Source organism: Homo sapiens, chromosome 7, assembly GCF_000001405.40.
Source record: "Homo sapiens chromosome 7, GRCh38.p14 Primary Assembly".
Lineage (NCBI taxonomy): Eukaryota > Metazoa > Chordata > Mammalia > Primates > Hominidae > Homo > Homo sapiens.
Genome location: NC_000007.14, coordinates 77,919,348 through 77,937,484, shown reverse-complemented (window position 1 = coordinate 77,937,484; position 18,137 = coordinate 77,919,348). Strand labels below are relative to the sequence as shown.

The window sequence follows — 18,137 nt, the reverse complement described above, 5'->3', positions numbered from 1 at the left end:
ATTAGTTAGCATATACACTGAACAGATATCATAAGAAGTTACATGGTTATGAAACTGTACAAGTTGAGAACTTTCTGTAACAAGTATTAGTCAACCTATGTTCAAAAATATACTAAAACATGTCAGCAAAAGTACTTAGTTGTCAGTCTACACAGCTGCAATATACTAATGCTAAAAGACAAATGGATATCAACTTGTTCATAGTAATCATTGTCCAACTTATGATCATTAAAAAAGAATATGACAGCTGAGATTTGAATCTCTTTGAAAGACCATATAGTGCTAGTCTTATCCCAAAAAAGACTCTTCCTTACATATTTAACGTTTAATATCTGATTTAGTTACTTTTCTGATATTTTAATCCAGCATTTCTCCAAAGGACCCATTTAACTTTTTTTTTTTTTCCAGATAAAGCAAATATTACAAAACTGAAGCACTCAGCCTCCTGAGTAGCTCGGACTACAGGCACCTGCCACCATGCCTGGCTAATTTTTTTATTTTTAGTAGAGACGGGGTTTCACCATGTTGGCCAGGCTGGTCTCTAACTCCTGACCTCAGGTGATCCACCGGCCTCTACCTCCCAAAGTGCTGGGATTACAGGTGTGAACCACTGCGCCCAGCCCCAAAACAGAACAGTTGAGTTAATGATGGCAACAAAATTAATGAAACACTAAACCTTTATATAATCAGACTTCAAGAGGAGAAGTAACACTAAAAGATTAAACCCAGATAGAGATCAGTTTGCTTGTTTATATTGCAGTATTTCTAGTGTATTTTTAAGGACTCATATACTTCCCACATTTTGTTTTTTGAGACGGAGTCTTGCTCTGTTACTCAGGCTGGAGTGCAATGGTGCGATCTCAGCTCACTGCAACCTCCGCCTCCCAGGTTCAAGTGATTCTCCTGCCTCAGCCTCCCAAGTAGCTGGGACTATAGGCGCCCACCACCACGCCCAGCTAATCTTTAAATTTTTGTAGAGACGGGGTTTCACCATGTTGACCAGGTTGGTCTCGAACTCCTGAACTTGTGATCTGCCCACCTAAGCCTCCCAAAGTGCTGGGATTACAGGCGTGAGCCACGGTGTCTGGCCACTTCCCACATTTTCTAAAAACAATAGTTTTGGCATTCGTAGCAACCTCAAATTTTATAAAATATTTCATTAAATATAACTTCTAACAATGAACAGAAGAATCTACTCTAGGTACATTTATTCTTTAGAGGACAAAAATGTGATTAAAATATGGTAAAAAAAATGTTTCTTGTAAACTTTTAACACTTTCCTCTAGGGGGAGTAAAGTTGCATTGATTAATTTCAACTAAAGTTGAATAATAATAATTCAATAATGTAAAAAAAAAGAGGTGGGAAATTTTTATCTTTTCTAGAGATGAAGGATTTTAATATACTTTAACTTTCATGGTATACATTTCACTACTTGAGGTCCTGAAGAGTGCTAAGATACTAGTTATTAACTACCAACTTAATTTCTCAAATGTTATTTCCTCATTTATCTCCAAACAAAATATTCTGTTTTGGGAAAGAAATAATCTGTACCAAAATATGTATCAAACTTTCACTAGAAATTTTACAATTGTTAAGCGTAAGGAAACCAAAAAGCCAGAAACAGGAAGTGCAAGAAGCTAAAAGGAAAGAAGTTTAAGCTTGAGAGCCAACAGATTTCAACCACTGATTTACAGACATTTTTAAACTCTCAGTCTGGAATAGTGAATTAAGGTCTTCCTAATTACATGAAGAAAGGAATATCAATACCAAGAAAGCCCATCTAGAGACAGAAATAGGAAATCAGGACATTCTCATTGTCCTCCCAAAAGCACTCCTTTTACATCTAGCTACCTTGCCAATTACTCTATCCAGCATCTGATATTACATTATTTCTAGAATGCCAAAAGGCAAAAGAGAAGACAGCAACTAGAAACTGGTGAATTTTAAAAGAGTTAATTACGCCGGGCGCGGTGGCTCACGCCTGTAATCCCAGCACTTTGGGAGGCTGAGGTGGGCGGATCACGAGGTCAGGAGATAGTAGCCATCCTGGCTAACACGGTGAAACCCCGTCTCTACTAAAAATACAAAAAGAAATCAGCCAGGCATGGTGGCTGGTGCCTGTAGTCCCAGGTACTGGGGAGGCTGAGGCAAGAGAATGGCGTGAACCCGGGAGGCAGAGCTTGAAGTGAGCCGAGATCGCGCCACTGCACTCCAGCCTGGGCGACAGAGTGGGACTCCGTCTGAAAAAAAAAAAAAAAAAAAAAAAAAAGGGTAAATTACATGTTCAATGTTGTGTGTAGAAACTTGAAAAAATAAATAAAAAAGACTGCTATATTCCTCTGTGTGTGTGTGTGGGGGGGGGGAATGTACACTGAAAAACAGTCTTGTTGAATCATGTCTGCAGTGTGGAGAACAGCATCACATGAAATTTTTTTTAAAAGGTTCAGGGAAAACATCAGAGCAAATAATTTCATTTTATAATTTTATCACATAGGTTACTCTAAATACATTTTCTTTTTTCTTTTTTTTTTTGAGACTGTGTTGGGCTCCACTGCCCAGGCTGGAGTGTGGTTCTTGGCTAACTGAAACCTTCGCCTCCCGGGTTCAAGCAATGCTCATGCCTCAGCCTCCTGAGCAGCTGGGATTACAGGTGCCTGCCACCGTGCCCACCACCATGCCCGACTAATTTTTGTATTTTTAATAGAGATGGAGTTTCACCATGTTGCCAGGCTGGTCTCGAACTCCTGACCTCAAGTAATCCACCCGCCTTGGCCTCCCAAGCTGGGATTAGAGGCGTGAGCCACCATGCCCGGCCGCTATATATGTTTTCAAACTAAAATTTAGAACTTAAAATTTTTTTTTACCTTTGAAGACAGCATCACAGATCCAAAAATTTAGAACTTCTAAAATGATTATACTTTATCCTCACTTAAAATCTCAACTGCTTTGCTCCTTATTCATTCAAAACTACCTGAAAACCTTATTGCTTAAATGGTGGCATGTTTTATTTCAAATAAATTCACCATGCCAACCACATACTCGTGTTTCCAACTGTGGGAATGCAGCCATTTAAAGCTTTACACTTACTAAAAACTGAATTTCAGCTGAATATAGCTTTATATTTTAGTATATATTCAGCTATAGAGGAGGGCTATAGGAGAAAAATTTTCTTCTGTGGAAATGTTTCAATTACTATTTACAAACAAAATAAAACAATGAAATAAAGATACACATTTGGGAATATTCTGATTAGAACATACTAATTCAAATGCTCAGTGTTTTTTCATGAGAAGGGATTTTTCCATCTGTATAGCAGACAGAAAAAGGTCTTCCAAACCTAACAGACTGGTTAAACAAGAAAAAAAACTAGTAGCTTTTTAGTAAAAGGGAGCTAATTTCCATTACTTAGCTACTAGTAAAACTAAAAGCATGAGCTTATTTTTTGAAACCTGAGAATTAAAAATCTGTTTAAGATCAAGTCTTTAATCTAAAAGCAAAACCAATATAAGCCTAGGATACCATAATTAGATATACAGAGTAGAGCATTAACAAATTTTATCTTACCAAAAAGGTAGCCGACTGGTGTGACAGACTTAGGAGCAATTTACTCTGCACAGACATCATAAAACAATTTTTTAAATCATTTAAGAAAGGCCTAATTGGCATGTTTTGAAAAAATTTAATTTTGTTTCAGGCATTCAATATTTATTAAATACCTACTGTGTACCTCACGCTGTGTGATACAACACTGAGCAAAAAAAAAAAAAAAAAACACATGGTCCCTGCTTTTATGCTGCTTATAGTTATCTCTGGGAAAATAGCTCACAGGCATTTCCCTCAATCTTAACTCCAGTTGTTAGTCTCAGTGACTTAGATGAATATGCAGATGACTCATTCAACACCCTATGCTTTCATGGATTGTTCACTTTTTCATTTCTTCAATCCCAAGGACGCTACTCCCACAGCCACACCCTAGACCTTGTCACCATACGGAACTGCTCTACTTCTGAAAGGAATCTACTACAACTTCCCATCTTACCTGGTCTCTCAAAGCTTCAATTCTGAAACACTTGTTCCCTTGAACACACCTATCCTTAAATTTATCAGTCCCTTCCTGATTTCATTTCCTTCTCAATCTAACAATTTAATGACTAGACTGCCACCAGATCCACCATTTCAATCATCCCCTCTCCTGTCCCTTGAAGAGCAACTATTTATTTATTTATTTTATTATTATTATTTTTTTGAGACGGAGTCTCGCTCTGTTGCCCAGGCTGGAGTGCAGTGGTGCCATCTCGGCTCACTGCAAGCTCTACCTCCTGGGTTCACGCCATTCTCCTGCCTCAGCCTCCTGAGTAACTGGGATTACAGGCACCCGCCACCACGCCCGGCTAATTTTTTGTATTTTTAGTAGAGATGGGGTTTCACCGTGTTAGCCAGGATGATCTCGATCTCCTAACCTTGTGATCCACCCGCCTCGGCCTCCCAAAGTGCTGGGATTACAGGCGTGGCAACTATTTATTGAACACTTACTCTGTGTGACTTTGGGCACATTACTCAACTCTGAGCAATGTAAAATGAAAATAAACTACATTACCACAGGTTGTAAAGGTTAAATACATGAGATAATGCAACTAGATTACTTTGCACAGTGTGTGGCATAAGTAAATGCTTATTAAATGTCAGATATAGTAACAACTACATTCCAGAAAACATCACATAGCTGTGTAGAATAGGCAACTACAAATTCATGGTTTCAGATTCCAGCTGGACCCTCAACAATGTGGCAAGGCAGTATGATTGTTTTGATGTGTTCATTGGCTTGAACACACACACACACACACACACACACACACACACACTCTCTCTCTCTCTCTCTCTTTCTCTCTCTCTCTCTTCCTCTTTCTCTCTCTCCCTCTCTCTGTCCCCTTTCTCCATTCTCCACAAATGGTAACTTAAAGCCTTCACCACCATCCAAAAGCCTCCTCTTGTATCATCTCGCTTATTGCCAGTAGATCCCTTGGACTCTTGCACTTCACGGAAAAAAGATCATCAGGCAATAACTCTCTTACCATCTTGCTTGCTGCATGCACTCATCCTTATCCTCCTATCTCAGCAGAGGATGTTTTCCTCTTCCTGTCAAATGCTAAGCTTCCTGATTATGATTCCCCTCCAGAATCCTAAGAAATCATTCCACCAGTCAACATTTTCTTCCGTATCTCTTTGATTCTTCCCTACCTGTTTTCTCCTGTATATATCAATGTTTTCAAATATCTCATATATTAGGGAGTCAACACCAAAACACTCCAGCTCAATTTCCCTAATTACCACTTTGTTTTTTCTAAACATTCATAGCCATCCTTTTTATTTTTTATTTTATTTTTGAGACAGAGTCCGCTCTGTCGCTCAGGCTGGAGTGCAATAGCGCCATCTCAGCTCACTGCTAAGCCCTGCCTCCCAGGTTCAAGTGATTCTTATGCCTCAGCTTCCAGAGTAGCTGGGATTACAGGTGCCTGTCACCACGCCTGGCTAATTTTTGTATTTTCAGTAGAGACAGGGTTATTTAAAGTAAAGGCAGCTTGCCTTTTTCATTCAAAATTATATTCAAAAACTTATTCATGTTGATACATGCAGCCGAGTTCATTCAATTTCACTGCTGTATACTGTTTTATCATACAACATTATTTATTAATTCCACTATTATTGGCTATTATATTTTCAACTTTCACTATCATGCACAATGCAATGATAGTGCCTATCTTCTAAAGTTTCATTCTAAATTGGAATGAAAGGGTCCTAGAATATATAGAACTTCAACTTTACTATATAATGACAAACTGCTCTTCAAAGTAGCTGTACAAACAAACATCAGTATTAAAGAGTTCTCTCTTCACATTCTTGCCAACATTGAAATTTATCAGGTTTTAAATTTTGACAATTTGATCAATATTAAGTAGTATCTAATTGTTCTAATTTACATTTCCCTAACTAATAGCAAGGCTGACCATCTTCACTTATATTTTATTAGCCATCAGGGGACCTGTTCACATCCTTTTATTTTTCTATTGAGTCATTTGTCTTTTACTTATTCATCTGTAGGAGTTCTTTATGTCCTGTATGTAGTAACACTGTGATAGTTAATGTATTGGAAATATCTTCTCCCAGCCTGTGGCTCATCTTTTAACACGCCCAAAGTTTTAAATCTTAAGATATTCAAATTTATCTCTCCATTTTTGTTTGTGCTTTTTATATCTTGTTTTTAAAAATTCTTCTCTAACCTGAAGTAATAAAGATTTTTCTCCTGTATTTTCTTCTAAATGCTTTAAAGTTTCGCTTTTCACCTTTAGAAACTATTTGGAATAAATTTTCAAGTGTATAATCATTTGACTCACAACCATATAGTCCGTTCTTTTTCTACTGACTTGTAATGCCACTTATTGTCATGTATTAGTGATCCATTATAAACAAATGTCTATTTCTGAGTTTTCTATTCTGTTCCATCGGTATATATGTTTATATGTCTATACTATACTATCTTGAGTATTAAATTGAAAGTAAATTTTTATATCCAGTAGGGAAAGATCCCTGTTGTTCTTCAAAATTGTTTTTGCTATTCTTGATATTTTGCTCTTTAATATGGACTTTAAATCAGCCTAACTCCAACCAAAACCAGACAGAGGTAAAGAGACCAGAGCTCCCTTATTTCCACCGTGTAAGGATACAAGGATAAGATAGCTGTTGTAAACCAGGAAGAGAACCTTTACCAAGAACCAATCATGCTGGCACCCTGATCTTGGACTTCCAGGCCTCAGAACTGTGAGAAATAAATGTTTGTTGTTTAAGCCACCCAGCCTCTGGGATTGTTATAGCAGAAGGTTCTTTGATAGCTATGCATCACCCTTTTATCAGATTGAAAGTTCTCTTTTTTTTCTCGAGTTTTCTGACTTTACTTGGTTTGACAGGATTAGATAAGGAGTTGGATAAGAGAGAGAAGGTGAAGAAGAGGGGAATTTTAAATGACCACCAAGTTTCTGGACTAGTGAGTAGATGAATGGAGATGTCATTCACCAAAATTTTGAATGGAATAAGAAAAACAGATTTATGAGGGAGGACTGGTTAAATTTGAGGTATTGGTGGGACATTCAAATAAAGATATCCTATAAAATCGTGCTGTCCAATATAGTACCCTCCTCACATGTGGCTATTCAGCATTTGAAATGTGGCTAGTCCGACTGGGCAGGGTGGCTTATGCCTGTAATCCCAGCACTTTGGGAGGCTGAGGTGGGAGAATCACTTGAGGTCAGGAGTTCGAGACCAGCCTGGCCAACATGGTGAAAGCCTGTCTCTACTAATAACATAAAAATTAGCCGGGTGTGGTGGCGGGCGCCTGTAATCCCTACTACTCAGAAGGCTGAGGCAGGAGAATCGCTGGAACCTGGGAGGCGAAGGTTGCAGTGAGTCAAGATCGTGCCATTGTACTCCAGCCTGGGTGACAAGAGGGACAGACTCCATCTCAAAAAAAAAAAAAAAAAAAAATGTGGCTAGTCCAAAATGAGATGTGCTCTAAGTGTTTACACCAGATTTTGAAGATTTAGTATTAAAAATGTAAAATATTTCATTAATTTTTTCATATTAGTTATATGTTAAAGTGATATTATGAATATAATGGTCTAAATAAAACATATTTGAATTTCCCCTTTAAAAAATATTTAATGAGGCTACCAGAAAATTAAAAATTATACATCTGACTCTCATAATATTTCCATTGGATAGCATTACTATGGGCACTTGGAGCTACAAATTTGATATTCATGAGATGTAGATTTGTGAATATAATCTTATAGGTGGAGTTTAGACCAAGGTGTACATGCATCTGGCCACAAAGTATGTTCAGTAAGAAAGTACTATTGCACCTAACACACGATTTGACTTACGAAACTCCAGTTACCAATAACTTTTCAGGAACATACATAACCACAATATAAGTACTGAGATTCTATGTTTTGATGAAGCCAGACCACAGCTCACATAAAAAGAAAAAAAATTATAGAAATATAAGCTTGAATGTAAGCTTTTTCTTCACCTCTGTAACATTTGAACATAAATTCAAAGGAGCTTGACTCATAGCTCCACATAAGCCAAAACCATAAACCAACCTGATGAAAAGGGTCATCTCTATATTCTTTTTTCACACATGGATTAATCTGATGATTTTCCACATCTGTCTCACTGGTACAAGATGAATGGCATTCTGCACAATGTAACAAGTCTTCCCATAACACATCTTCTGTTTCAGATTCTGGCCTTGCACTCTCAGAATCCTGTCTGGAACTTGAACAGCGAGAGCTGCAACTAGTACCCGATTTAGGGGCGTCCTGAAATCAAGATATTCTTTGACATTAATACAATTTATGTACTCTTTCCAACTCAAAGGATACTATCAGAACCCATATATTGATACTTTTTGCTAAAACAACAAATACACCCTCAAAAGATAGTGAGACAGCAAAACATTACAAAATATATTAGCTTTTATTCAGTAACAAAATACCTTCACATCAAAATTTATTTGATTTCATATTTCAGCTCAGATATTACTTTGCATACAAAGGTTGTATCTATTTTCTCTTAAATTTTATATGAAGTTCACAACTCAGGTAGGCAGAGAGAGTAGTCTAAGTAGTCTAAGTTCATACGGTCTGCACGGTGAACATTAACTGACTTTAATTGATGTTATTAATGGCAATACCATTGGCCTCCCATATCCATGCATTCCACATCTGCAGATAGAAAATACAATATTCCTGAGATGCAGAACCCACAGTTTTGGAGAAATGGAGGGCGAGGGCTGACTTATGTGTCATCAGGTTCCACAGGGCTGACTGTGAGATTTGAGAATCCTTGGATTTTGGTATTTATAGAAGGGCCGGATATCTACCAATCTCACGTGGATACCCAGGAATGACTGTATTTTCTTATTCTAGTCTTTTTTTTTTTAAGCAAGAGTGGATTTATCTACTGTTTTTGTTTCACAAATGGAAGTGAAATCAACATAAAATTGATATTTAAACCAAGAAGGTAACTGCCAACTCATGTTCTTGAGATAATCTGTGGTATAAAAGTAAAAAATTAAAACAAGTTAAGTAATTTCTAATCAGTTTACTTTATCCTGGGAGTTTGCAATGTACAAAATAAAGATGAGTAAAATTTTGATTTAAATTAATTAAAAAACTTTTACTGAATAAATCATGGTCATAGTCATCCTTATGGCCAGGTATCTTCAATTTTTTTTTTTTTGGCTGTCCTCTGTGACTAGATTTGTCATGTACCTTTAAAATGCATTATATTTATCCTTTTGTCTTTCCTTTGCTATCACCGACTTCAGACTTTATCATTTATACCTTCATTGCTATAAGCACCTCCTAATTGATCTTTGCCTAAAAGGCCTTCCTCTTCTTTCCAGATTAACCTTCCTAAAGCACAGCTGTTCTTTGACTCCTCTAGTCAAAATCTTTCCTTGGCTTCTCACTGCTCTCCTGGATAAAGTTCCGATTCCTTCACCTAGCATGCTCATCTTCATATGTGCTACTTTTTGACCTTGTCTTCCACTACATACCGTAACCTTTTACTCCAGTGACAGTAGGCTACTTCTGAGCCCCTAAGCATGGCTTGTTCTTTGCTTTGATTATGTTCCACCCTAGGCCTTAATTATGCTCCTACCTCTTATCATTAATCCTGCACTCCTTTAAAAAGCTGTTAAAAATTAAATGAGCATGGGAACTTTGAATACAAACCTGGCACAAAGCAGGGGCTCAACAAATGCTACCTTAAAGCCACCTACCTAGAGTGATCACTTTGTTCCTGAAGTGAGTTATTACTATTTTTTGAGATGGAGGCTCACTCTGTCGCCCAGGCTGGAGTGCAGTGGCACGTGATCTTCACTCACCACAACTTCCACCTCCCAGGTTCAAGTGATTCTCCTGCCTCAGCCTCCCGAGTAGCTGGGGTTACAGACACATGCCACTGCGACTGGCTAATTTTTGTATTTTTAGTAGAGATGGGGTTTCACCATGTTGGCCAGGCTGGTCTTGAACTCCTGACCTCAGGTGATCCACCCACCTTGGCCTCTGAAAGTACAGGGATTACAGGCGTGAGCCACCAAGCCCGGCCTGAAGTGAGTTATTATTTATATTCATTTGATAATAAATTTTGTACTGCTTTCCACAATCAATCTCTCTCTTTATGTGTATGTGTGTGTTTGTGTGTGTGTGTGTGTGTGTGTGTATGTATATATATATATATATATTTTTTTTTTTTTTTTTTTTTGAGATGGAGTCTCACTCTGTCACCCAGGCTGGAGTGCAGCAGCACTATCTCAGCTCACTGCAACCTCCACCTCCTGGGTTCAAGCAATTCTCCTGCCTCAGCCTCCTGAGTAGCTAGGACTACAGGAGCCCGCCACCACACCGGGCTAATTTTTATATTTTCAGTAGAGATGGGGTTTTATCATATTGGCCAGATTGGTCTGGAATTCGCAACCTCAAGTGATCAGCCCACCTCAGCCTCCCAAAGTGCAGGGATTACAGGGGTGAGCCATGGCCCTGGCCTCTTTTTTTTGAAGCAGGACTACATGCGTGTACCACCATGCCTGGCTAAATTTTGTACTTTGTTTTTTTTTTGAGAGATGGAGTTTCGCCATGTTGCACAGGCGGGTCTCTAACTTCTGAGCTCAAGGGATCCGCCCACCTCAGCCTCCCAAAGTGCTGGGATTACAGGCGTGAGCCACTGAATGTGCGGCCAATATTGTCTGTCTCAATTAAATATTCATGTGTTTAATATTCTCAAATAGATTGTAAATCTAAATATACTACGAGTCCACAAAAGACAGATTTTTTTTTTTTGGCCATCTCCTTACCACAGGTAACAAAATACCTTGAGTGAATGAGGTACATTATTAATAATTAATCTACTGATATTAGAATGGGGACTGTGAATCTACAGTGTGTTAATAGAGTGTTTGTGGGAGGAGGGCTGTTTATTTAGAAAGAAGTAAAAAGAAAAACTTTCAAAAGAGAAGAAAATGATTAATAAGTAAAAACAAATATACAAAGAAAAAGAGGACAAAAATCACTCTGCTCTGTTTTATGAACAGCACTCCAAAAATATTTCAGGTTCTCTAATGTCACCAGTTTTCATTAGCAAGGCACAGAACACATTAAGCTTTTAATAATTGCTAATTTAAAACTTGTGATAAAGATAGTTTATTATATATAACGTCTGTTGCAGACTTGTTAATCAGGATTAAAGGCCTGATGACTTTAACGGAAACTAATTAATGATTTCAGGATTAAGAAAATATCTATAATTCTTTAGAAGTGTTTTTTGCCAAATGCAGATTAGTAAGTGGGTTTTTGTTTTTGTTTTTTTTTTGAGATGGAGTCTCACTCTGTCACCACGCTGGATGCAGTGGCGTGATCTCGGCTCACTGCAACCTCTGCTTCTTGGGTTCAAGTGATTCTCCTGCCACAGCCTCCCAAGTGGCTGGGACTACAGGCACGTGCCACAACAGCCAGCTAATTTTTGTATTTTTCGTAGAGACGGGGTTTCACCATGTTGGCCAGGATGGTCTTGATCTCTTGACCTCGTGATCTGCCCGCCTCAGCCTCCCAAAGTGCTGCGATTACAAGCATGAGCACCGCACCCGGCCAAGTGGGTCATTTTATACATTTAAAACTCTGGCTGGGAGTGGTGGCTCACGCCTATAATCCCAGCACTTTGGGAGGTCCAGGTGGGTGCATCAAGACCAGCCTAGCCAACAGGGCGAAACCCCATCTCTATTAAAATACAAAAATTAGCTGAGGCAGGAGAATCACTTGAACCCGGGAGGCGGAGGTTGCAGTGAGCCGAGATGGCGCCACTGCACTCCAGCCTGGGCAAGGAGAGTGAAACTCTGTCTCAAAAAAAAAAAAAAAAAAAAAAAAAAAAAAACCCTAAAAACTATTGCCTATAATTGCCTAAATTTCAAATAGAATTTTACCTACAATATTTGTGTGATTAATAGTGAATATCACTAAAAATTACCAAATAAAGTCTAAAAAAAGAAAATTTTAGAATTGAACAGTTCAAGTTAAAACACATTTGTTTTGGTTTCTACTGCTAGTCATGTCAAATCTTTAGACGCCTAAAACTGAACATATAATGAGATTTAGAGAACACATAGTATTTATTTGAAGGGAATATGGACTTATAAATGCTTTCTTGGGGGGTGGAAGGAAAATTGTTTTAAAAAACTCAGAAGTTAAATAATTTTCCCAAGGTCATTTTAATAATCTAACTCCAAGCCCATGGTTTCTTCATTACGCTTCTCATCAAATGTTACCTTTCTGGGATGAAAAGCTAACCTACAATTGGGAGTAAAAATTGAACAATATTTGTAGAGCTGAACAAAGCAGGACAGAGTAGGTAACAGAAGAAACACTTAAAAGAAGCTGTCAGTTCCCTAGGACGCCTCCTGCATCCCAGATAACCAAGTAATTCCTCCCAACAGAACACTGGAAGAAGTCAACCAGATACAGTAGATAGTAGAAAAAGGCAAAAACCGGGGATTAAATGAAAGTCTACACATTAAATGACAAAATCCCCATCTCATCCCCAGTTCCCTTGGTGCCAAACACCAGAGCAGCCTGTTTTATTATCTACTACCCCCATCCCACCAGAAGACTGGATAAGTCTTCCCTAAAAAATAGATGCCCCTAAAAAGTTTATCTACAGATATTGCCATCTGGGAAGCTTACAACAAATGGCTAGGTTCCTGACCCATTATCTTACAATAAAACCCACCAATCCCATCCATGCACAAAATACTTCCCCAAAGAATTTTCCTTTTCATTTATCATTGGAATACTTTTATCAAGAAAAATTAAAGTTCAAACTATTCTATCTTTGGCTCCCAAGTCTTTCTGAAAAGACCTTGGTAGTCTTTGATAGCTTCCTTGCCCTCTATCATATTATAAGAGGTTCCACAGTCATTTTGTATATTTCCTGCAACAAACGACAATCAGGAATCAGCCACTTCTTCAAGAAGTTGTTTTGTTTTTGTTTTTTTTGGTTTTGGTTATTTAGTGATAAATGGCACAATCTAGGTACTAGAGATGCTTGCTCATTGTGTTTGAGTGGGTCCAAATGATTTTTTCATGCCTCACTCTTAAAGAAAAAACATTACTAGCAATTGGAGAGAGTACAGTAATTTATAAAATAAATTTAAATTTATAAATAAAAACGCAAAAGAGCACTACAAATCTTCTGTTTCCATTTTATTTATTCAAAGGAGGCTTTATTTTGCTTTTTTTTAGAAACGCCCTTTAAAGCTGGTTTAAGAGTAAAAATTTTTGAGAACTGAATGCAGCTTTTAAAATATCACCTAGTCTACATTCTTCACTTTATAGACGAAGAATTTTATAGCCATATTTTATATTTATGTAATTTCTTATATCATTAAAAAAGATGTAAATCAATGCTTACTATCAGCCTTACTTAGCTGGAAATCAAGATTTTAAACAACCTTTTAATTTAAAAGTTAATAGGTAGAATAATGTTCTGCGCTTCAAGAAACTCAATCGTTTAAAATACAGTTGCAAACCAACAAAAGCCAAGATCATGGAGTGAGAAAAATACTGCTACTGCTAAATAATTTATTCTGGGAGAGGGGTCAAACAGCCCTCCGTCTCCCTTCCAGCACCAACTGACTTCTAACAGTACATACAGTAAGACAAAATTTTACAAGCTTGGTTATCTGGCTTAGGAACAAGAAACACTACATCAAATGACATGGGTGAAGAGGCAATAGAGCAGACACACTGGCATTAGTGTCTGTATGGCAACCACTGGGAAAAGAAACAAAACCACAATCACCAGAAAGATTAACCAGAGACACAACCACAAAGAAGAGTGTGCAAAGAATAGTAACTCTTCTAATCTTAATACTCTGAAGGCAATCATATTCCAGCACAGCGTAACATGTGTTTGTTTTACAAGTTTAACCCAAAACCATCAAGGAAAAAATTACTAACATAGCTCAAAAAGAGTAGAAGGTAATGTTTATAAAAAAGTGATAAACAGTGTAATTTATTTGCCTTAAAGCCAAATGTTCTACCCTTAGATTAGAAACTGAAAATACAATTGAATGAAATTCTTTATTTAAACAATTTGAAGCTCAAGAGATATGATATAGTTGAAAAGGGTTTAGAGAAAATAAAGATTAATAAGGAAAAATAGAAACAAAGAAAAAAGAACTGAATTTTGAAGTATGGGGACTTAATAACTGGTGACAGCAATATGAAGGAAGTTACTTAAAATAACTTTGCTATGATCAAATGTATAAAGCCTTTCAAATTGTGGAAAAAGTGAACACAGGAGTTTGCAGATTCTCTCTCCAGAATGTTCTTCTTTAAAAGCAAACAACAAACAATGTATGAGTCTTCAAAGATAATGCATAAAATGAGCTCAAATGTGTGGCTATCTATCAATACATGTGCAATACGTAAACCTAAAACTGCTATTTTATAAATCCAGATCATACAACAATAATAAATATTGATAATAATGTGAAATATTTATTTCAACAATTTTTAATTGTTGAAAGAAGTTATAAATTAGTAACATATAAAATAGATACGTATGTATACACTTAAGGACAAAGTATATACCTCATTAGGGTAATGTTTCTTATAATGGTGTGACTTTCTATTCCGAAGAACACCTTCAGAAGTCCTGTCCACATGACGACGTAATGAGTATCCTGTTTCAGGACCTTCCTCACTGGAGACTTCATCAGAGACATTTGTTATTGTCCTTTGGGTATCCTAAGTTGGGAGTACACAAAGAGGATTATAGGTAATTTCTAACCAACCTTTTAGCTTTTAAACTATGAAATTTGAAATTACACATACATATATACACACAACTTCAAAATATCCTCAACTACCACAAAGTAACTAATTAGTATTACCTGATTTTCTGAAAAAATATCTTAAATCAGTGACTATACTTTTAAGGCATTTTTACTTTTAAAAGTACTTCAACAGCCATTTGTCAAATATTATCCTGTAATATTTCTGTTCAGAAAAGGATTTGAAACAGCATCCAAAAATAAGAAATATGCCAGGCACAGTGGCTCAAGCCTGTAATCTCAGCACTTTGGGAGGCTGAAGTGGGAAGACTGTTTGAGGCCAGGGGTTCGAGACCAGCCTGGGCAACATAGCAAAACTCAGTCTCTTAAAAAATAAAAATAAAAAATCAGCCAGGCATAGCAGTGCACACCTGTACTCCTAGCTATTCAGGAGAGTGAGGTGAGAGGATCACTTGAGCACAGGAGTTTTAGGCTGCAGTGAGCTATAATCGCACCACTGAACTCTGGCCTGGGCAACATAGTGAGACCATGTCTCAAAAAAAAAAAAAAAAAAAAAAAGGAATATAAACAGGAGAAAAGCAGAACAGAGACCACTTAAAAGAAGGTGAAAGAACATATTATACTATTTTTTCAAACTGAAAAAGCCATCAATTGTAAGACCCACCACTAATTTAATAATGGTTTACAGGATAAGAGGAAGTAAATAGCAACTGCATGTGCGCACGTCAGACAACATTCTACACACATCAATTTGTAAAAGATATCCAGAGTTTAGAAATTACGAAATTAAATGACTCTAGAGCATACGTTTTATTGATATTTTCATGTTCCTCATACAACTTTACTAGGTAATATTAATACAAGCCTGAAAACGTGTTTGAAAGCATATGACTGAAAATTTATCTGCTGAATAACAGTGATGAGAGGCTCACATTATCAGAGCTAAATGCTGAAAAAAATCTAAAATCAGAGTAAGGGACTACATTCATTGCAGGCCCATGCTCTTCTATGGCTACTGGTACTGAAAATACATGAACGTTCAAGTAGTAACATATACTTTACCCAAAATTAGAGAATCCTCTTTTCTTTATTTTCCTTAACACAATATGTTCATGCTCACATTCCCAAATGTAAGAGAGGTAACATCTTTTAATTTGACTCTCTCTCTATTTTTTTACTGTAACAGCTTCTAAAGAATAAACTGTTCAACCAAAAAAAATTCAGTGAAGCAAAGAAATAGAAGACATCACATTAAGCTTTGTTACAATAAAACCAGAGTCTCTCTATTTTGGAAAAGTAAAGAAATAATTGTTCTCTTTAACAAATATGTCCCCAGTAAGATTTTTTCCAGATTAAAAACAAAACAAAAGAAAACAAAACAGGTATGTTGACACCACAGGTAATGAATGCAGGAAAAACAAGATATCTTCTTATAGAGAACATGAATGGAAAACTGGTTTCCCTGTTCAGCTTCCTGAATTATTCGCATGTTCCACTTAGTGCAAATTCTTACACACACAGAAATAGGGAAAGAAAAAGTAAGGCTTAACAAACAACAACTGTAAATTATAAAGTGCTTTTAACATTTTGGGGCTAGCCACAGTGGCTCATGCCTGTAATCCTAGAACTTTAGAAGGCTGAGGTGGGTGGACTGCTTGAGTCCAGAAGTTCGAGACCAGCGTGGGCAACATGGCTAAGCCCTGTCTCTACAAAAAACAAAAAAAAAATTAGCCGGGCATGGTGGCGCATGCCTGTAGTTCTAGCTACTCAGGAGGCTGAGGTGGGAAGATCGTTTGTGCCTGGGAGGCTGAGGATGCTGTGAGCCAAGATCGCACCACCTCACTCCAGCCTGGATAACAGAGTAAGACCCCGTCTCAAAAAAAGCATTTTGGAAAAACTGAAGCCATCAATTCAGAAGGTGTCAGATTATATTGTCAATCAAGTTTAATCACAACACTTTATCTCATTTACAGTTTCATCAGTGTTATAAACGCTCACAGAATTAATTCTGGAGAAAATACTTAGTTCAAGGGCAACTACTATATCTAAGTCACTTTACATTGGCTAATATAAAATCACATAGGCAAACTATTTTAAAAATCACACGTACTTTGCTAGGACCATTCCTCAGTGTTCCTGTGTTCCAGGCTGTCTCTTCTGGTCGAATAGTTTCACACTGAGGTTCATGGTTTTGTATTCCATCTTCACCGCTTTTAACAGTCTTCTTCCCATCAAGGGATACATAGCCATTGTCAGTTTCAGTTGATTTATCAATTGAATTCTTTGCTTTCTTTGATCTAAAAATTAAAATATGCAGAAGAATGTTTGGACTTAGCTTATTTTGGATAGGTTACTGATAGAAATTATAATCTGTTAATAATTACATCAGATAGCTATTTCTCTAAATTTTAATGACCACCCTATTTGTATAATAATTTAGAAATATATCTAACAGCTAAAATAAACATGTAAATTAATGTCCTATTTCAGCTTAAAGGTTTTGAGGTCTTACAGATAACAATTCTAGGAGACATGCCCTAACTTATCAAAAAATTCTTAGTAAATCATCTGGTCTTTGAACAAAATCTAGAAACAAAATTTTGCCCATTTTATTATGGTTAAAAATATATTTTGAAGTTTTATTTAAGAAATGATCTAATTGTCAGGTTAAGTTGCAATTCATGGTTTAACTTAGTTTGATAAATTCCTTTTAGTATACAACTCATTTTAATATACAGTGAAGACACAGGTCTTTTGCAACATAAAAAGATATAAAAAAACGAAAATTTTAAATAAGTTTCTAAATAATGGAAGAAGTGAAAAAGAACAACACAAAGAAAATAAAGAAGTAACCTCTTTCACCCACTGAAATAATCTCTGGAAAAGATATTAGCAATCATGCAGCTTATAAATATCTAAAGGGCTAGAATTGAGGAATTTATAAGAATAAATTTTTTTTTCAACACATAAAATACAACATGGGAAATAAGATGTTTTTTACTAACAGGCAAACACTTGAGGAGTCCTCTTCAAAGACTACAGTGGATGAAAGAACAGTTATCCAAAGGAAACGGTTAGTAGAAATATAAAGTTAGTCCCACACAAAATTAAAATGTGCTCAATGCAGATTATCTATCATAAAACATTTTTAAAGCAATTATATTTAAATAAATTCCCTTGAATTTTTGTTAGAGGTATCAATTTTGCAAGTAAGGAAAAATAAAAATA

At 36.6% G+C, this 18,137-nt stretch overlaps 1 protein-coding gene across 24 annotated transcripts in view; it reads right to left on the bottom strand.

Moving 5' to 3' along the window:
- Positions 1–18,137, bottom strand: part of PHTF2 (putative homeodomain transcription factor 2) — a 158,732-nt gene that overhangs the window by 20,020 nt on the left and 120,575 nt on the right. For 19 of the 24 annotated variants that reach the window (XM_011516422.4, NM_001127358.2, NM_001366081.1 and 16 more), the window contains 3 exons: positions 17,020–17,206; positions 14,707–14,862; positions 8,158–8,376 (listed from right to left, as the gene is read on the bottom strand). In XM_011516422.4, coding sequence (XP_011514724.1) covers positions 8,158–8,376; positions 14,707–14,862; positions 17,020–17,206 — 562 coding nt within the window. Of the gene's footprint in view, positions 1–8,157; positions 8,377–13,299; positions 14,863–17,019; positions 17,207–18,137 lie in introns of those variants that run through there. The other 5 variants (XM_011516423.4, NM_001395270.1, NM_001366085.2 and 2 more) reach the window with 2 other exon arrangements.